This window comes from Homo sapiens, chromosome 22 (genome assembly GCF_000001405.40).
Source record: "Homo sapiens chromosome 22, GRCh38.p14 Primary Assembly".
NCBI lineage: Eukaryota > Metazoa > Chordata > Mammalia > Primates > Hominidae > Homo > Homo sapiens.
This window is the reverse complement of record NC_000022.11, coordinates 27,220,870-27,242,390: the sequence shown is the minus strand read 5'-3', so window position 1 is coordinate 27,242,390 and position 21,521 is coordinate 27,220,870. Positions and strand designations below refer to the sequence as shown.

Genomic DNA, 21,521 nt, shown 5'->3' with positions numbered 1-21,521 from the left:
CAAACCTTCAGGATAGGTCCCATTTTACAGATGAGGGACCTAGGGCTCAGAGAGGGGCCGGCACTTGTTTAGGGAGCTGCAGCTTGCCAGTGGCAGAGCCAGGAATGAGCCCCGGTCTGTGTGGCCCCATGCCCGGTCTCAGGCTGCCAGAAAAGCAGAGCTGACAGGAGAAAGGTTAGAGGAATAAGAAACAGGCTGGGGACATGCAGCCTTTCCCAGGGCCCCTCCCAGGCCTGCCTGACCCCCTACCCTTGGGGAAGGACAGGTTTAATGGCACTGTCCCTCCTGGGGTGGAGAAGGTGCTGAGTGGCACTTTCCCACAGGACCTGGTGGGAACAGAGCTGCCTGGGCCCCAGCTGGCTGCCCAGCTAATGAGCCCCAGAGGGAGCTGGACAGGCCTCATAAAGCCAAACACAGGGCAGCAGGCAGGAGGCAGCTGGAGCCCTGGGCTGTCTGCCCCTGGCCTTGGCTCGGTGCCGGCTGAAACCAAAAGCGCCCAAGACCTTGACAGACAAGAGACCCTTGCCAATCCCTGCTCCTGGTGCCTCCCTCTTCCTGCTCAGGGCCCAGATCTGAGCCATCTCCACAGAGACCATCTCCTCACTGCCTTAGAGACCATGTGGTCCTGATGGGACAGTCAGGGGTTCAGGTCAGAGCTAGGAGGACCCTCAGAGAGCATTGGCTCCCTTCTCTTGTAGAGTCAGGGTAACTGTGACCCAGAGAGGGCAAGCTACTGGGAAAAGGCCAAACAGCGAGACGGGACAGCAGACCCATGTGCCCATGTGTTTGTCTTCCTAGGAGCAATAGGAGTCCGTTTGCCCAGAGAGTAATTAGAATATGTGATATGACCAGCCCTTGTTAGGGCAGAGGACAAAAATTAGGCAACTTAGCCATTCCTAGCACTCACAAAAAGGTGAACTCTGGATTAACATAAGGATTAACCCATTTAATCCTCCCCCAAGCCCTACTAGGACACTTTTAGTATCCCCATTGACAATGGAAGACTCTGAGGGCTCAGAGAGGTTAAGTAACTTGCTCAAGGTCACGCAGCCAGTGCTATGGTTTGAATGTCCTCTCCAAAACTCAAGTTGAAATTTAGTTGCCATTGTGACAGTGGTAAGAGGTGGGACAATTAAGAGGTGACTAGGCCATGAGGACTCAATCCTCATGAACGAATTAATGTTGTTATCACATCACAGGAGTGATGGGAATTATCATGGGTGTGGGCACTTGATTTAAAAAGTATGAGTTCAACCCTTTTTCTGTCTCACCTTTTCTTACCCGTCCACCTTCTGCCGTGGGATGATGCAGCATGAAGGCCCTCACCAGATACTGGCACCTTGCTACTGGACTTCCCAGACTCCAGAAGTGTGAGAAATATATTTCTTTTCTTAATAAATTACCCAGTCTTGGGTATTTCATTGTAGCAGCACAAAACGGATAAAGATAGCCAGTTGGTGGCAAAGCTGGAGTTTGAACCAGAGTCCAACCTTTTACCTGTTATCCATGCGGCTTTCCCACTGAGGATGGAGTCAAGCTTCCTCCAGTGTGCCCAGGCCATAAGCTAAGCACTCACAGGGCAGGTAGACCCTGGGGGATCTCACAGCCTGGGGCAGTGGCTGGTGATCAGTAATCACACTCCAGCCTAATGTTCTGGCAGCCACCCAAGCTGGGCACAGAGTTAGATTCCCTGCCTGCTTCCTGATACTTAGCTTGTTCATTGCAGTCTAGCCTCAGTGTCATGTTTTTTCATTACCAAGAGCTTGTCCCAGCTCCTTGGTCTTGTTGTGAGTGGTGATAGCAGGGGCTCTGGAATCTGCCTGCCTGTATCTGCATTTTGACAGCTGTGTGACCTTAGACAAGTCGCTTAACCTCTCTGGGCTTTACTTTCCTCATCTGTAAACTGGGACTAATAATAGTACTTGCCTCATAGGGTGGAAATGAAAGTAGTGACTATTTAAAGTGCTTAGAAAAATGCCAGCACACCCCAGAGCTCACTATAAGTGATGATTACTATGGCTACTGCTGCTTCTATCGCTGGGGCAGGGGTGCGCTACAAACTGGAGTTGTCACCACAGATGAGGTCTGTGCTACCCATTGCCAACCACAGGGTATTTATTGGACACCCGCTGTGTGCCAGGCCCTATGCTAGGCACTGAGGGTGAAATAGTGAAGAAGCAGGCAGGCACCATCGCTGTCCCATGCCCCTCCCCCCAGCCTAGTGGGGAGATGGATGAGGAAACTGACAGTTCGACGCAGAGTGATCAGGGCTGCTGAGGGAAGCCCCCAGGAGGCCCCAGAGCCAGCAGAGGGTGGGATGTGGGCCTCGTAGACTTCTCGGAGGATAGGTGGGACTTAATCAGAAGAAGGTGAGAGGAAACAGGATTGGAGGTGGTAGGATCAGCACATGCAAAAGACTAGTGGTGGACAGACCACAGGAGTGTTGGAGGACCAGAATGAGGTTTTATAGTACTGAAGATCATGGGGGAGGGGGTCCTGAAAGGAGTGGGGGTTGGAAGGTCATAGAGGAAGGAGGCATGGAGGTCAACAGGGGCCAGATCTTCCAGCCAAAAGGAGAAAAGGGTTTGGACTTAACTTGAGGGCAGCAGGGAGCCGTGGAAGGCTGTAGGCACAGAAGGGATATAGTCAGATAAGGGTTTGAGAAAGACTTTGTGCAGCGTAGAGAGCAGCATAAAGTTGGGAGTGGCCCTGTCTTTCATGAAATAAGCAGAACATGGCTAGGAAATGTCTCCTGCAGGGGTGCGGAGATGTTGTTCCATATTCCGGCAGGAGGCCACATCCCCAAGCTCAGGTTGTCTCTGATGAGCAGCTCCCCCACCCCCAAGCCCATCCTCTGGGTCCTTAGCCTTTGTAGCCTGGGTGGCGTGAGGTCAGAGCTCTCTGGAGCAAAGGGTCACTGCTGATTCCTGGGGTCCTTGGGAGGCCACAGACAGCAAGGAGGGCTGTGGGGAGAGGAAAACCTACTGAGGCATTCCACGCAGCCGCCTACCCTGAAGCATCACTGGCCAGGAATGCAGGGGCACCCAGGGGCCATGCTTATCACCCTCCCCAAGCGTCTGGAGCAGCCCGGTTCCTGTCGGCTGTCCATCCAGATGGGCCCTAAATCAGTGGGCCCTTCCTCCTCCAGCTGCAGCTGACACAGAGCCTGGACCCCAGCCAACGCCCAAGCCCAGGAGCCCAGACTATAACATGTCAGCCTCCCACACACACAGACCCTGCCAGCTCCCAACACAGCCACTGGGTCTGGCGTGTGTCAGCTGAGAGATGTTGCAACAGGGAAATGGCATGGAGTCAGACAGGTATGGGTTTGAATTCAGACTGCTGGGCTTAGTGACTTGCCTCAGTTTTCTCCTCTCTAAAATGGGAATATTAACAGGACCCACTTCCTCGAGTAGCCGTGAGGATTAAGTAAGACAGTGGATGTGACTGCACCTAATAGGTCTGGCTAGCACATTCTGTGTCTCGTTAAATATATACTCCAGAGCTCTAGAGCTCCTTTTGTAAGATCAATGCAATTACCCGTATACAGCTCTGGACAGAATCTACTTCTGAGTTAATGTCTCCAGATTATTCCCCAAATGGCTCCCGGCACATTCTCTTAATGCACTCAAATTGGTTTCCCAGTTTTACAGGAACTTGTTTGAGACCCGCTTCTGGGGAAGTACACGGGTTAAGAGGAGGAACCTCCAGTTGTAGAGGTTCAGTACTTGGTCTTCCCTTCCCTCCAGCCTGATTTCATGGCCCCATGGAATGCAAAAGTTATAAATAACAAGCTATATGACATGTTGGAAGGTGATAGTTCTATGGGAAAGAAACCAGTAGAGGAGGATAAAGGAGATTGAGTGTCCCAGGGGTGGGAGGTGGTGTTAGAATTTTAATAGAACTTGGCCGGGAGCAGTGGCTCACACCTGTAATCCCAACACTTTAGGAGGCCAAGGCGTGCAGATCATCTGAGGTCAGGAGTTCGAGACCAGCCTGCCCAACATGGTGAAACCCCGTCTCTACTAAAAATACAAAAATTAGCCGGGCGTGGTGGCAGGTGCCTGTAGTCCCAGCTACTCGGGAGGCTGAGGCAGGAGAATTGCTTGAACCCAGGAGGCGGAGGTTGCAATGAGCTGAGATCCCACCATTGCACTCCAGCCTGGGCAACAAGAGTAAAACTTCATCTCAGAAAAAAAATATTAATAGAACTTCTGGATATAGTTAACTTTTCCTTTAAAAATTTCATCTTTGTGTCTGTTTTATATGGTACTTAATCTATGAATACAGTAGTGCATGGTCACAATTTATAAGCATGTGTATTTGTTTATATATGTATGTTTGTATGTATCTGTGCATATGTTTGTATTTTTTACGGTGTGAGTTCAAGTAGTTTGGACACCCCTGAGTTATACAGACACAAGCAGCAGGATTCTAGTGGATGGAAGATTACAGGCTTCCACTCTTAGGTATTATTTGCTCCCCAAGGTGGTCTTAGAAATCAGCCCTCTCCCCTCAAATTCTACATCCTTGCTGAGTGCAGTTTGAAGACACTCATCCTCAACCTCTTCATTCACAGATGAGGAAGCTGAGGCTCAGAGCAGAGCTGTGGCCCATGCAAAGGCACAGAACTAGTAAGCAGCTCAGTGGGGAACTAATCCAGGTCTTGGAATTGCCCGGGGTCTTTCTGCTGAGCCCAAACCTCGAGATACTCCTTAGAAGTGCTGGAGCCAGAGTGAGGCAGTGGAAATGCAAGAAGACAGGGACCAGGGCCTGAGATTTTTCTTCTCGTCCCCCCCACCGCCCGAGAGGCCACTTAAGCGGCGCTTAACCGTCCTGTGATGTATTGAACCCTCTCTCTGCGCATAAATGCGGCCGGTCAACCGCTAGGCAGAAATGCCACATATATTTCCTCCCATTAGATGAAATATGCCCCTAATTTGGCTGGGGTTTTGTTTTATTAGACCTACGGCAGCGAGGGGGCCCTGCTGCAGAGTAACCTTTTCCTGATCACTTAGTTCTCTCCGGAGAACACTGAGGGCCTCGATAAAGGGGGGAAAGAAACGCCCTGTTCTATTATTTTTCAGCACACATTCCCAGAACAAAGATCTTCCCGAGCCAAGGAGACACTGCGTGAGGCATTTCAGAGACACCTCCCGCTCTAAGAATGTTCCTGGGGCTGGGAGCCTGGAGACCCACGTTCCAGCCCTGAGGTGTCGTTTACAAAAGGAAGAATTGGGCACATTGCCTCCCTTCTCTGGGCCTCAGTTTATTCATCTGTAAAACATGGCTAATAACGGAACCCCCATCATAGAGTTGCTTCAAGGATTAAATAAGATCAAGAATGACAGAGGGCATTTAGTATACCTTCTCTGTTAATGTCATTGTTTCCAAAGAGAAGTGAGTTTCTTGATCCCTATAGGAGAGCGTGTTGGTGAATTCTGCTGGGCTAAAACTAAAACAGTGATTTTTTTTTCCCTACGATCCTTTAGGGGTACCCTTATGCTAATTAACCCTACCCCACACAAGACTGGCTTGTGTGCCTTGGGGCCACTTCATCAGGGGAGGGAGATGTTATGGGGCCTGACTCAGGACTGGTGCATCCTTTCCCCACCTCCATGACACCAGCCACCATCAGAGGGCTGACTGTGAACGCTCAATGGTACCCATGCAGAAAGGTCCTGAGCTCAGTGGTCTCCCCATCATGCTGGGGTTTGGGACCCTAGTTATGTTTCCTCTCTTTAGCCCAGTGGAGCTCATCTTTTGCTTCATATTACTATCACCCGAGGACCTGTAAAAAATATTTACTCCAGACCAGACCAATTAAGTCAAACTCTCTGGTTGTGGGAAAGGAGGGGACCCTAGTTTTTAAAGCTCCCTAGGTGATTCTAATGAGTGGCAAAGCTGAGAATAACAGTTTAGCCCTTTTCATGTGATCGAGACCAGACCCTATATCTGTGTCTTCCTCCTGCAAAAGGGTAAGTGGAAAAGCCAGACTCGAACTGGGTGCAAATCTTGCCTTTGTGTGGCTTCCTGCCTCCATCCCTATTCACCTCACTGCACCTCTGCTTCCACATCCCTAAGGGGGAGTAATAATAGTGCCTGCTTCTTGGGACTGCTGGGAGAGCATCTAACAGGCTCTGCACTGTGCCCGGCACCCAGTAAGCCCTCGATAGGTAGTGGGATCATTACCATTATTACTCTAGACCAGGTATCCAGAAAACCATCTGTAAATTAGGGTCAGTTCATAAATATTTTCAGCTTTTCAGGCCAGAGGGTCTTGGTCAAAGCTACTTAACTCTAGTGCTGTAGCCTGAAAGCCACGGACAACATGCAAATGAATGGGAGTGGCTGTGTTCCAATAAAAACTTACAAAAACGTGCAGCAGGCTGGATTTGGTTGTTAATTTGCTGACACCTAATCTGGAAGATATTTTGAGTTTGAACAACTGGGTATATGCTGGGTTTTACCTGTTATGTTTTTGGTTTATAGTCCTAGACAGGACCTGGAAATCTTTGTCTCATTCTCTCCTTTACACACACTCATCTTATAGGATATTTATATGAGAAACTTATGCCATCTTTTTTTTTGTTTTGTTTTTGTTTTTAAATTATACTTTAAGTTCTGGGATACATGTGTCGAACGCGCAGGTTTATTACCTAGGTATACACGTGCCATGGTGGTTTGCTGCACCCATCAACTCATCATCTACATTAAATATTTCTCCTAATGCTATCCCTCCCCTAGCCCCTCACCCCCTGACAGGCCCTGGTGTGTGATGTTCCCATCCCTGTGTCCATGTATTCTTATTGTTCAACTCCCACTTATGAGTGAGAACATGCGGTGTTTGGTTTTCTGTTCCTGTGTTAGTTTGCTGAGAATGGTGGTTTCCAGATTCATCCATGTCCCTACAAAGGACATGAACTCATCCCTTTTTATGGTTGTGTAGTATTCCATGGTGTATATGTGCCACATTTTCTTTATCCAGTCTATCATTGATGGGCATTAGATGGTTCCAAGTCTTTGCTATTGTGAACAGTGCTGCAGTAAACATACGTGTGCATGTGTCTTTATAGTAGAATGATTTATAATCCTTTGGGTATATACCCAGTAATGGGATTGCTGGGTCAAGTGGTATTTCTGGTTCTAGATTCTTGAGGAATCGCCACACTGTCTTCCACAATGGTTGAACTGATTTATACTCCCACCGATGGTGTAAAAGTGTTCCTATTTCTCCACATCCCCTCCAGTATCTGTTGTTTCCTGACTTTTTAAAGATCACCATTCTAACTGCTGTGAGATGGTATCTCATTGTGGTTTTGATTTGCATTTGTCTAATGACCAGTGATGATGAGCATTTTTCATAAATTTGTTGGCCGCATAAATGTCTTCTTTTCAGAAGTGATTGTTCATATTCTTTGCCCACTTTTTGATGGGCTTGTTTTTTTCTTGTAAATTTGTTTAAGTTCTGGATATTAGCCCTTTGTCAGATGGATAGATTGCAAAAATTTTCTCCCATTCTGTAGGTTTCCTGTTCACTCTGATGATAGTTTCTTTTGCTGGGCAGAAGCTCTTTAGTTTAATTAGATCCCATTTGTCAATTTTGGCTTCTGTTGCCATTGCTTTTGGTGTTTTAGTCATGAAGTCTTTGCCCGTGTCCTGAATGATATTGCCTAGCTTTTCTTCTAGGGTTTTAATGCTTTTAGGGCACATGTTTAAGTCTTTAATCCATCTTGAGTTAATTTTTGTATAAGGTGTAAGGAAGGGGTCCAGTTTCAGTTTTCTGCATATGGCTAGCCAGTTTTTCCCAACACCATTTATTAAATAGGGAATCCTTTCCCCATTGCTTGTTTTTGTCAGGTGTGTCAAAGATCAGATGGTTGTAGATGTGTGGCATTATTGCCGAGCCCTATGTTCTGTTCCATTGGTCTATATGTCTGTTTTGGTACCAGTACCGTGCTGTTTTGGTTACTGTAGCCTTGTAGTATAGTTTGAAGTCAGGTAGTGTGATGCCTCCAGCTTTGTTCTTTTGGCTTAGCATTGTCTTGGCTATACGGGCTCTTTTTTGGTTCCATATAAAATTTAAAGTAGTTTTTTCCAATTCTATGAAGACAGTCAATGGTAGCTTGATGGGGATAGCATTGAATCTATAAATTACTTTGGGCAGGATGGCCATTTTCATGATATTGATTCTTCCTATCCATGAGCATGGAATGTTTTTCCATTTGTTTGTGTCCTCTCTTATTTCCTTGAGCTTTGTAGTTCTTGAGGTTTGTAGTTCTCCTTGAAGAGATCCTTCACATCCCTGGTAAGCTGTATTTCTAGGTATTTTATTCTCTTTGTAGCAACTGTAAATGGGAGTTTACTCATAATTTGGCTCTCTGTTTGTCTATTATTGGTGTACAGAGATGCTTGTGATTTTTGCATGTTGATTTTGTATCCTGAGACTTTGCTGAAGTTGCTTATCAGCTTAAGGAGATTTTGGGCTGAGACGATGGAGTTTTCTAAATATACAATCATGTCATCTGCAAATAGAGACAATTTGACTTCCTCTCTTCCTATCTGAATATGCTTTATTTCTTTCTCTTGCCTGATTGCCCTGGCCAGAACTTCCAATACTGTGTTGAATAGGAGTGGTGAGAGAGGGAATCCTTGTCTTGTGCTGGTTTTCAAAGGGAATGCTTGCAGCTTTTGCCCATTCAGTGTGATATTGGCTGTGGGTTTCTTATAAATAGCTCTTATTATTATATGTTCCATCGATACCTAGTTTATTGAGAGTTTTTAGCATGAAGGAGTGTTGAATTTTATTGAAGACCTTTTCTGCTTCCATTGAGATATTTTCTGCATCCATTAAGATAATCATGTGGTTTTTGTCATTGGTTCTGTTTATGTGTTGGATTATATTTATTGATATGTGTATGTTGAACCACCCTTGCCAGGAAGAAGTCGAATCCCTGAATAAACCAATAATAAGGTCTGAAATTGAGGCAGTAATTAATAGCCTACCAACCCAAAAAATCCCAGGACCAGATGGATTCACAGATGAATTGTACCCAGAGGAACAAAGTGGAGCTGATATCATTCCTTCTGAAACTATTCCAAAAAATAGAAAAAGAGGGCCTCCTCCCCAACTCATTTTATCAGGTCAGCATCATCCTGATACCAAAACCTGGCAGAGACACAACAAAAAAGAAAATTTCAGGCCAATATCCCTGATGAACATCAATGTGAAAATCCTCAATAAAATACTGGCAAACTAAATCTGGCAGCACATCAAAAAGCTTATCCACCACGATCAAGTTGGCTTCATCCCTGGGACATCGTTTTTTAAGAGACAGGGGTCTCACTCTGTTGCCTAGGCTGGAGTACAGCGGTGCAATCACAGCTCACTGCAGCCTTGAACTCCTGGGCTCAAACGATCCTTTTGCCTCAGTGCCCCGAATAGCTGGGACCACAGGCATACTCCACAATGCCCAGCTAATGTTGTAATTTTTTGTAGAGACGGGGTCTTGCTATTGTTTCCTGGGCTGGTCTGTAACTCCTGACCTCAAGCAATCCTCCCACCTCCACCTGTCAAAGTGCTGGAATTACAAGTGCGAGCCACCATGGCCAGCCCCTGAAATAGGTTTTTTGAAATGGTTACCACATTACAAGTTCTTTGTACATGCTATTTCCCAATTCTTTCAATCTTCTTTTTTTCAGATTATTAGATCTGAGGAAAAGAATTATTAAGGTGGTCATTTATTTGGCGTCTGCATTGTGTCCTTGCTCATCTCATTGAATTCTCACAGCAACCTTCTGAGTGCCTACCATTATCACCCCCATTGTCCAGATGAGAAGTCTGAGGCTTTGAGAGGCACAGATTCTTGCTCAAGGTCATACAGAGGTGGGATTTGAACCCAGTCTGTTAACCCCAGACTGTATGCTTCTCCATGCCTCCTTTCTGCTGTCGGCAAAGAAGCCGGCACTTGGGCATGAAAGGCCAGCATGCATTATCCATCTTAGACAGACTTTTTGTTTCTAAGACTGGAAAATGCTAGAAAGAAGTTGGCAGCCAAGGAGCAAAGCCATTCCTTTTGTTTTGAGTGTTTATCAGACAAGCCCTGCATGGTCAGAATCTCTTCTGCATGAAGCTGGGGTTTTTCTATGGTTATTCAGTGAGCATCTATTCTGGAGGCTGGGGAGGAGCAATTGTGTTTTCGACATTCCTCTTCATTCGCCCAAATCACCTCTCTCTCATCAAGAGCCTCGTGGAATCTGAATGAGCGGGCAGACGCTATTCATCAGAATAAGAGTTGCCAGCACAACCCGCTATTTCTTGTTTCCAACAGTTAAGGGGAAAAATTTCCGATAGATATTTTTACTTTGCGCAATTCTATTTTTGTCTCAACTTATCTGATCCTCTAATTCTGTGAGGGACTTTATTTCCTTGTGATGTTAAAGCCCCAGAGCTCAAAGTTCTTTTTCTTTTAAGCTTCAAAAAACTGAAGACCCTATTCAGGGCTAAGCCAGATACCCATCAGCCCTTGTGGAGGCGAATTATCACTCAAGTCATCTCACTTGCTTACAAATCCTCCGAGGAGGTTTTTCTCCTTTTTTATTTTTTCTTTTAAGGAGTTGGGTGACAGATAGCAACTGAAGAGCAACCATGCTTTCCAGGGGAACAAGCTTTGCAGACTGAGTCCCAGCTTGGGGGTTCACTGCCAATCACTATCTGACCTCAGAAATATCATTGGCCCCACCATGGACCAGTGACATTTGGCCATTCATTCACCCGGCTATGAATCTCCAGTATTTGTCGCCCTCTTTTTCTGACACATAGACGAATTCTCAGTCCCATCTTCTGGTTACCCACCCATGCTCAAGCCTTGACTATCTGGGTAAATTACATCATCCTGCACCCAGTCACCTGCACCCACCGCTTTGCAACTGTGCATCACCCACATCCAACCCTTCTGCAGCTTCTAATTTCCACCTCTGCATGCGTTTTTAATGTATCAAATTTCCCCCATATCTGTTGTTACCATCTGTCCAGAGCCACTGTCATCTCCTTCCTGGGCACTACAGCAGCCTTCTGAGGGCTCTCCATCCTTCTGCCATAGTCTCCACCCTCCAATCCATTCTCTAGCCTGGGATAATTTTTCAAATTTGCTCTCAGAACTCCTCTTTCTAAAACCTTTTAATAATTTCCCAATACGTTTAAAACAGGAGTCAGCAAACTATGGCCTGTGGATCAAATCCAGCCAGCTGCCTGTTTTTGTAAATAAAGTTTTATTAGAACACAGCTACACTCATTTGTTTGTGATTTGCATCTGGCTGCTCATGCATGACAACAGATAACAGAGTTGAATCACTGCAACAGAGTCTATGACTATATGACCATATTACCTATAAAGCTTGAAATCTTTATTATCTGATCCTCTACAGAAAAAAGTTTCCAGAGTCCTGACTTATAATAATATCCAGTTCCTCAGCGTGGCCTGTTAGTAAGGTAATCAATCATATGTGGTAGTCACTTGCGTTTAAGGTCCACTTTTCTGCATATTTCATTTCTCCCATCACAGCCTTTGCAATCTGTCTTTGCAGTTTCTCCATCAAGAGATAGATCTGTTTCCCCATCCCTTGAATCTGCATTAGCCATGTGACTTACTTTAATCAATAGAATGTGGCAGAAACAACATTGTGTCAGTTCTAAACCTGTGACTCAAGTAGCCATGCACACTTCTCTGTCTTGTAGAAGCCTGCTGCTGCCATAAGAACAAACCCACGCTGGCCTGCTGGAGGATGAGAGACAGGTGACCCAGTCCCTCCCAGCATCCCAGCCAACAGCCAGCCAATCCCAGATATAGAGCAGCCCTGCTGCCCTGCAGCTGGCCACAGACACATTAGGGAACCCAGCCCAGATTGGCACAAACCTCAGCTGAGCCACAGATTCATGAGCTAGCTAAATGCTTACCATTTTACACCACTACAATTGAGGGGTGCTTTGTTACACAGCAGTAGCTAACTGACACATCATATAATTTAACATTCAAGTTGGAATAGTTCTGAGAGTAAAAAAAAGGGCACTCTTAATTTCACCCGACTATCCCAGGCAAATGAAAAGGTAAATTCAATTTCCCTCTAATGGCACTGTTTGATCTATTTCATTCCTTTCACTCAAGCTTAATTGCAAGCCAGGGACCTGCTTTCCACAACACTCCTACTAACCTTAGGTCAGTTCCTAGAATATATCAAGCTCTTTTCAACCTCAAGGACTTTGCACAGGCCATTCCCTCTGCCTGGAATACTCTTACACCCACTGATGGATGCTTTCTTCTCATTCTTCAGGTCTCAGAACTTCATTATCAATAACTACCTACCTGCCTCCCACCCCCAGCTACAAGCTATCCCAGTTTTTGATTTGTTTTGTACTTACTACAATCTGAAATCAATTTGTAGGTTTATTGACTACTTGTTCATTGCCTGAGTCCTCCCATGAGACTATGAGCCCTGTTAGGGATGGAACTCTATCTTATTCTTCTCTGTATCCCCAGTGTTCAGCAGATTTCCAGGCACATGGTAGGTGCTTTTTACATATATTTTTAAAATAAATGAATATAGCAAAAATTCAGCCTGTTAAACATCAACTGCATGATGGGTAGTTTCCTAACTAGCTAGAATCGGAAATAGGGTTCTGAGTAGCCAGGCAGAACTGGGTTCAAATTTGTCCTCTAGCACTTTGTAGTTTTGAAATCATGGGCACCTTACTCAAATTCTCTGAGTCCCATTGTCTTCACTGGTAAAACTGAGTTGCAGATAAGAAGTAATGCATGTAAAATGCCCATCACAGGGACTAGCATATAGCAGGTACTTAGAAATCAGTAGCCAGAATTATTTTCACTACAGTTGGGTCAAAAAAAAAAAAAAAAAAAAAAAAAACAGCTTGACTTAATTCCAGTAGGTCATTAGGTTTATCTCTCTTCTTTAGGGGAGAGGCCATTCTTTGACTTTTGACCTTGAGACATGGACAGATTTGTATTCTTCCTTACCTTGAACAAGAGCCTACAAAATACAAGTCAGAAAGAGGCAGAGGGTTAACTCCAGGGATGAGGCAGGGATGGGCAACCTGAGAGAAGACCTGGAAGCAGGTTCTGAGCATATACATCTTAGATCCATGCAGTCTATAAACAGAACCGATGTGTGGAGTTAAGTTCAAAGCCATTGGCATCTGAGCCCTAAATTCAATAAACACTTATTTTTCTAGGTCCCATTATTTGTTGCTGACCAAAGATATCATTTTGGGAACTGCAAAACATCCCCAGGCCTCAATTACCCTACCCCTGCTGAAATGTGAAATCTGTTCTCCCTTCTTCCAATGGTAACAGCCTCCATGAATTTAGTGGGATGCATGAACACCCAGAATAAGGACTACATTTCCCAGACTCCTTTGCAGCTAGCTATGTCTATGTGACTACATTGCGTCCTATTGGATGTAAGTTGTTTTATTGTAGCTTCTACAAATCTTTTTTAAATGACAACTAGCACATACTACTTTTCTCTCTGCCTTTCTTCATTTTGCTGCCCTGTGGACTTGGACATGTTACCTCAGGTCTTCATGCCTCAGTTACTTTATACGTAAACCAGGAGCACAACCTACTTCAAAGAGTTTTGGTAAAGATTAAAAGATTATTGATAATAAATACAAGGTGTATTTAATGAGATAATAAATTTAAAATGCATACTTTGGTGTCTGGTGTATAGTAGATATTAAACAAATACTTTTGTTACTGTCCATGTGAACTTAAAAAAGTCACATGAATCCTCTGAGCCTCAGAGGTTTTCTCCATTATAAAATGAGAATGGTCTTCTTATACCAGATTTAAATCTAAATTATCCAAAGATCTAAATGTAAAAATGTAAAAATAACAACAAAACCATATAAACATTAGAAGAAAGCATGAATAGATTCCTGTATGACTAAAGTATGGGAAAAACCTTTCTACTTATGATTCAAAACATAATGTAATAAAAAAGACTGATAAATCTGAATGCATAACCATTTTGTAACAAACATCGAAAGTGAAGTCAAAAGAGAAGCTGGAAGAAAACATTTTTAATCTATGTCACAGATAAGTAGTTGATGTCCTTAATACATAAAGAGTTCTTAAAAATCAAGAATAAAGACCAAAAACTCAGTTTTTAAAAATAAGGAAAAAACGTGATTAGATGGTTCACAGAAAGAGATGTATAAATGGACCTCAAAATGTGAAAAGGTGTTCAACTCCATGCACAAGAGAAATGCAAATTAAAGCTACCCAAACATAGTATTTCTTACCTCTTAGACTGACAAAAGGTGAAAGCTTGACCACATACTCTGTTGGAACATGGCGACAATGTAGGGAAACAGATTATCTCATACATTGCTGGTGGAAATGCAAATGGGGTATTTGAAAATATCTAACAATATCACATATGTGTTTACCTTTTAGCCCTTCAATCCTACATTTTGGAATTTACCTAAAAATATACTTCTGCAAGCCCAGAACAACAAATGCATGTGGTTATTCATTATATCATTTGTAGTAGCAAAATATTAGAAACAACCTAAATGCCTACTCATAGGAGACCAGTTGAACAAACTGTGAATCTTCTGGATAATGAAGTACTAAGCAGCTACAAAAAAATTGAGGATAACTGTTACGAATGAAAATGATTTCTAAATCTTTTTTTGCTTTAAATGAAAAAGCAAAGTGCAAGCGAGTACCTATGGTATGTTCTCTTTTATCTAAAAAATATGGAAAGCTAAAAATACATGAATATAGAGTCATAGAAGTAAAAACTGGCAGGATTCACTTATGGGTAAAAGTGACTATAGAGAGTAATTGGGGGCAGGGTGTGGTGGCTCACGCCTGTAATGCCAGCACTTTGGGAGGCCGAGACGGGTGGATCACAAGGTCAGGAGATCAAGACCATCCTGGCTAACACAATGAAACTCCATATCTACTAAAAATACAAAAAATTAGCCGGGCATGGTGGCGGGCGCCTGTAGTCCCAGCTACTCAGGAGGCTGAGGCAGGAGAAGGATGGCATGAACTGGGGAGGCGGAACTTGCAGTGAGCCGAGATCACGCCACTGCACTCCAGCCTGGGTGACAGAGCGAGACTCCGTCTCAAAAAAATAAGTAAATAAATAAATTAAAATTAAAATTTAAAAATTTAAAAAAGAAGGTAATTGGGAATGGGGTGACAGCATGGAGATAAGAATGAGACTGCTCTTGGGACTTCTTTGTCTATAATTTATACTCTTGAATCATATAAATATTTTACAGATTCAAAGATGAAATTTAATCAAAGATGTTGAAAAAGACACCAAACCCTAAAATTGAAGGCAAATAGAAACAAACAAGCCTAACTACACATCACGTTGATAACTCTGCTAGGCAGGCTTCTAAAGTGGCCCCCATTGATGCTCACTTCCGGATACTCCAGCATTTTGTTTAATCCTTTTCCCTTGAACGTTGGCTGGACCTGGTGACTCACTTCTAATGAATGAAATATGGAAAAAGTAATGAGATGTTACTCCTGACAATTAGGTTCCAAAGGGGTGTGACTTCTATCTTGTTGGTATTCTGTCTCCCTGGTGCTTCTCATGTGCTGAGCTTGATAGAGAAGGTGACCTGGCAAGGAACTGAAGGACATCTGGCAATGTACTGAGTGAGGAACTGGGGCCCACAGTCCAGCAGTCTCCAAGGAATCAAATCCCACAACAGCCATGTGAGTGAGCATGGAAGTAGATCTTCCCCGGTCAAGCCCCCAGAAGGACCCAGCCCTGCGGACACCTTGACCGAAACCTGTGAGAGCTCCGGAAATAGAGGAACCAGGTAAGCCACACCTGGATCCAGAGAAACTGTGAGACAAGAAATGTTGTTGCTTTAAGCCACTAAGTTCTGGGGTAGTTTGTTAAGCAACAATCAATAATAATACAAATGTAACCATGTAGGAAGGGAATCAGCTCAAATAACCTTTGAACACTGTTCTCTAACTGTGCTCTCAATTAAATACACTCTAAGGACAACAAGAACTTCAAAGAAACCTTGAACTTGAATGAATAGATAGTTGTTGATAGTAGGATCAGTGTAATTCTGAAACCATTGAGCAAATATGTTGATATTGGGGGAAATGGGGTTCTCACCGTGAAATCAGAGAGATATGATATGGAATGAGGGAATTGTGAGAAAGAACTTTGTGATGTTGGATTTAATTTGGAGGCATCAGAATGAACTCAAGTGTGTCTTCTATTTACTGAAAGAAACTAGAAATAGCAATACCTTTGTAGTAACAAGCACACCTAGAACATGTATTTTGGCTTTTATTTTATTTTATTCATTTTTGAGATAGTATCTCACTCTGTCACTCAGGCTGGAGTGCAATGGCATGATCTTGGCCCACTGCAGCCTTGACCTCCTGGGCTCAAGTGATCCTCCCACTTCAACCTCCTGAGTAGCTGTGACTATAAGCATGCGCCACCATGCCTGGCTAATTTTTGTATTTTTCTTGGTGGAGATGGGGTTTTGTCATTTTGCCCAGGCTGGTCTGGAACTCCTGGGCTCAAGTGATTCTCCTGCCTTGATATCACGGCTTTTAAATACCATTTTCCATTGAAAGGGATCAGGTCATCTTGGAGAAATGGATGGTTTAAGGATTTGAACAAGGAAAATAGAAGATGAGTCTGGAACATTTTATTGTGTCAGAAAGTTAGGAAGTTCTCAAAGAATGAAGGAGGCACATGTACAAGGATGCAGGGGCCAGCTTGCAGGGGTCCACCCAGCTAAACCTGGGACAATTGGAGCATTAAAAATTGCTCATGCATAGTATTTAAAATAAGAGGAGAGCAGCGGGAAACCCTTCTTTACCAAAGAATGTTAACAGTGTGAAAAAATACATAAATTTCAGAACTCCGTGTTGCAGTCATCCCTGCAATATTTGATTCTGGCAAGGATCATTAATGGATTCCAAAACTACTGGTTGAAAGTTTACGAGAGAAAGGGGTGTTTACATACTCCCGAAATACTATCCCACAGATTATATTATTTACACAGGGAAAGGGGTTCTTTAACAGTAGAAACATCTAGTGGATCCCACCTTAACCAACTGACCAAATACTTAGCATATTCAGTAATGGGACCAAGTGACATCATATGTCCCCTGAAGAGATGCAACGGACAACACATACCTTTGTGATGTGACTGCCCAAAAGGCTTACCCTCAATCAGATGGTGAGGACATCACTGGACAAACCCAGATCGTGAGACATTCAAAACACAGTTGGTCCAGACTTTTCAAAAACGTCAATGTCATTAAAAAGGAAGGAAAAAAGGTGAGGGGCTGTTCTAGAGCAAAGGACAGGAAAGCGGTATGAAAACCAACCACGAAAATATGTGTTCCTCCTTGGATCCTCACATAGACTGATGGAGGCAGACGTCCTCCTTGTCAGTGGGCACAAGCTCCCCTCCTGGATGCCTTGATCCCAGCCCGAAACTCAGGGCCATCCTCCCCACCCCATATCTACGGCATTTTGAGGGTATGGAGGAGGGAATTGTAAAGCTATTTGCTAAACTTTCTCTGGACGTTCCCTCCCTCTCCCTGACCACCCCACCCCACTTCCTGGCAAGCCTTCTGGCTGTGATTTCATCTGGAATTACTGGAATCACACTGTCTCCTGTCAGCTTTCTCTCCCTCCCCCGGCCCTCCTGCTGATGAGAGACAGGAGCGATGGATGGTCTGAGTTAGCGGGGTCCCGGCACCACCCAGCGCAAAGGCACTGCACTCACGCACGCCATGCACATGCTGGCTCACCTCCTCCATCCCATGCCTCCCCTGTCTCCAGGTCTCTGTCTCTTACTTTATTTTTCTCTCCACCTCCTTGTGTCTGCCTGCCTAAAGATTTCTGATGCTTAATCCTCCTCTGTCTCCCTTGCTGTCTTTCTCTGTCATTGTATCTCTTGGCATCTCAGTTCCACGTCTTCTGTTTCTCTCTCTTTCTCCACCTATTTTCCCTTCAGAAGCATTTTCACCCCAATGTCTCTGTATGTTCCTTGCAGCATTCCCTCTGGAATACATCAGCACTGTTGCCTTTGAGGCTGGCCTGCTTGAATGCACACCTGAGCTCCGGATTCACAGGTAGGTGTGTGACCTTTCTTAACTTCTCTGGGCCTCAGCATACTCCTTTTTACAGTGGGAATAACAATAGCACCTCTCACACGAAGTTCTGGAGGGAGTCGAAAAATTGGCACAGGCAAGCACTCCATAAAATCTGCAGTGGGCTAGAATCCACACTGCATACCTTGGTCACCACAGCCCCCCTCCTGCCTTACTCCAACCAGGTCTTCTTTGATCCCTGCTTTCTTTACACACTCTAGCCTCATCCACACCTTCTTGTTTCCAAACATGACAAGCTCACTCCCACCTCTAGGCCTTTGTCCTTGCAGATCTTCTCCCTGGGAGGCTCTTTCCAAAGACTTTGACAGCATCTACTTGTCACATCATTCTGGCCTTCTGGCACTCTTTGTGGTGGTTTTAAAATATGTCATTACATTCTTTGACACTCCTCCCTTCAAAAGGCAATGATTCATTCCCCTCTCCTTGAGTGTGGGCTGGACTTTTTGACTTGCTCTTGGAGAATAGAATGTGGTGGAGAGGGATGGTGTGTGACCTCTGAGATTAGGTCATAAGTGAAATTTCGGCCTCCCCCAGCAATTTCTTGGATGATTCACAGTGGAGGAAGCCAGATGCCATGTCATGAGGGTGCTCAAGCAACTTTTTGGAGATGTATGTATGGAGAGAAACTGAGGCCTCCTGCCAACAGCCAGCACTAACTTGGCAAGCATGTTTGAGAGCCACCTGGGAAGTGGAGCCTTCAGCCCCAGTTAAGCCTTCAGATGAGACTGCAGTCCTGGCCACCATCTGGACTGCAACTTCACAAGAGCTCCTAAGCCAGAGCCATGCAGATGGATTCTTGGCCCCCAGAAATTGTGCCACTACATTTTGGGAAATTTATTATGCAGCCATAGATTACCAATACACTCACTATTTCTTTTTTCTGATGCCATACTATATTTTTGTTTGCTGATTTTTTTCCTCCGTCTCTCCCACTAGGCATTAAGTTCCATAAGGGCAGTGACTGTGTCTGCGTGGTTCATCCATGTGTCCCCACAGCCTGGCATATGGAGCTCACTAATAACTCAGGCATGGGTAAATGGAGATCACTCATTTTAGGCTCAGCCTAATAAATCTCCCTCCTATGGCTCTCTCTAGAGAGAGCAGTAAAATTTGCCCAACTTCTTTTTCTGTCTTTCTGTATTTGATTTCTTACACTTTCTGTGGCTTTCTGCTTAGTTTTATTCCTGGCTGCCTGACAGAGGGTGGGTTTATGCAGATAAAGAGGCACCTGTGGGAGGAAGGGCTCTGTGTGCTTTCTCCTTTAATAAGCTGTGTCTAAAAAAAAAAAAAAAAAAAAAATAGCTCCCCTTTGCAAAAGGGACGAAAATAGCCAGGATTTTCCAGGATTTTAATGGAGATGGGAGGCGGGTACTGGGAGGCTGAAGACTGAGGCAGCCCTCTTCTCTCTGAGCAGCCCCAGTCTGATCACTGAGCAACCCCGGTCTGATCACTTACCCACACACCCACACTTGAATTATACTCACTTATTCATTTATCCATCTTTCCACCAAGTCAATTGTTAATTAATTCCCTATTTATTATTTGCTTATCTATTTATACATTCATTATCTATCCTATATTTTTTACTTATGAATTAATCCATTTATCCATCCATGCACTCAGCTATTCATCCATCCATCCACTCTCCATCTATCCACCCATCTATACATTTATCCATCACTGATCCATTCACCCACCATCCACCCATCTTTCCATTCATCCACCCATTCTTTCATGCATCCATCTATCCATCCACCAACCCATCCATCTACCCATCTATCCACATATCCATCATCCATCCATTCACCCATTCATCCACCATCCATTTGTCATCCATCTATCTATCCATCCATCCATGCATCCATCCATCCATCCACTCATCCATTTATCCACTCATCTATCCACTTATCCATCATCCATTCATTCACCCATTTATCCACCTATCCTTCCATCCACCCATCTATCCACTTATCCATCATCCATTCACCCATCCTGCATTCATCCATTATCCATTGATATACTTTTCATTTAATCCGAACACCCTAATGCCTTTATGTTAATTAATGAATTTATTCACTTAACCATGTGTCTATTTATTAAGTATTTTAATTTATTAATTTACTAAGCTTTCAGTTCTATTCAGACCCCCGAGTATTTACAAGTGCTACTACTTTGTGCCAAGTGCTATGTTAGGCTCTGGAATTAAGAGGTGAAGGAGACAGACCTGGTTCCTACCTGTGTGCGGTTCACCCCACTGATTTCTGGAATTCAGGTGAGGAGCTGTTCATGGGAGATCCTGAAGTCAGCACAAAATTTCTGCTCTCTAGGGACTCATGATGTGACAGAGCTGGATCGTGACACCTGGTGCTGGTTCTACCACTGGAATCCTTAACTTCTGGATGGGCCTCAGTTTTCTTTTCTGGGAAATGGGGACAATGTTGGGAAAATCTTCTTCTTCTTCTTCTTTTTTTTTTTTTTTTTTTTAACAGAGTCTCACTCTATCGCCAGGCTGGAGTGGTGCAGTGGCAAGATCTCGGCTCACTACAGTCTCCACCTCCAGGGTTCAAGCCATTCTCTTGCCTCAGCCTCCCAAGTAGCTGGGACTACAGTTACACACCACCACATCCAGCTAATTTTTGTATTTTTAGTAGAGATGGGGTTTCACCATGTTGCCCAGGATGGTCTCGATCTCCTGACCTCATGATCTGCCCACCTTGGCCTCCCAAAGTGCTGGGATTACAGGCGTGAGCCACCGCACCCAGCTGATAAAACCATCTTGAATGACCTTCATCACTGTGAACAGTGATGCAGTGGCTTTATAAACTCTAGAATGTGCTACAATTATGTGTGTGTGTGTGTGTCTGTATGTGTGTGTGTGTGTGTGTCTGTATGTGTGTGTGTGTGTGTCTGTATGTGTGTGTGTGTGTCTGTGTGTGTGTGTGTGTGTCTATATGTGTGTGTGTGTGTGTGTGTCTGTATGTGTGTGTGTGTGTGTGTCTGTATGTGTGTGTGTGTGTGTGTGTACAAGGTTTCTTTTGAGTTTCCTATCAGCCAAGCATCACACCACTGGGGAACCAGCTACCCTTGCTCACTTTTTGCCCGGATCCCTAGCAAGGTCTCTGGCATCTTGCTGTTATACCAGAGAGCACTAGGCAGCTGTGAACAGACCAAGTGGGCTCTGGAGGGTTGAAGGTGCTTATTATGAATCCGGGGGGTCTTAGGGAGCTAGCAGTCTTTCCTCCTCAAGAAGGAGATAATTATTGTTTAACTTTCATCTGGGCAGTGAATGCGACATTTTTAAACACCTCCCTCCCCATCCTA

General features: G+C 44.4%; 1 long non-coding RNA gene across 1 annotated transcript, besides 1 other annotated feature; it reads left to right on the top strand.

Moving 5' to 3' along the window:
• Window positions 14,784-15,983: an enhancer, noted in NCBI's record as "P300/CBP strongly-dependent group 1 enhancer chr22:27622369-27623568 (GRCh37/hg19 assembly coordinates)". NCBI's record gives its function as "activates an origin of replication core promoter dependent on BRD2, BRD4, P300/CBP, MED14 and CDK7 cofactors, with strong dependence on P300/CBP, by STARR-seq in HCT116 cells {active_cell/tissue: HCT116}" and the evidence as "EXISTENCE:reporter gene assay evidence [ECO:0000049][PMID:35650434]".
• On the top strand, window positions 17,712-21,041 carry LINC01638 (long intergenic non-protein coding RNA 1638). Its single transcript, NR_171021.1, has 3 exons — window positions 17,712-17,868; window positions 18,083-18,161; window positions 20,690-21,041. It is a non-coding gene; the product is annotated as a long intergenic non-protein coding RNA 1638 (long non-coding RNA).
• Window positions 21,042-21,521: the final 480 nt, after the last annotated feature.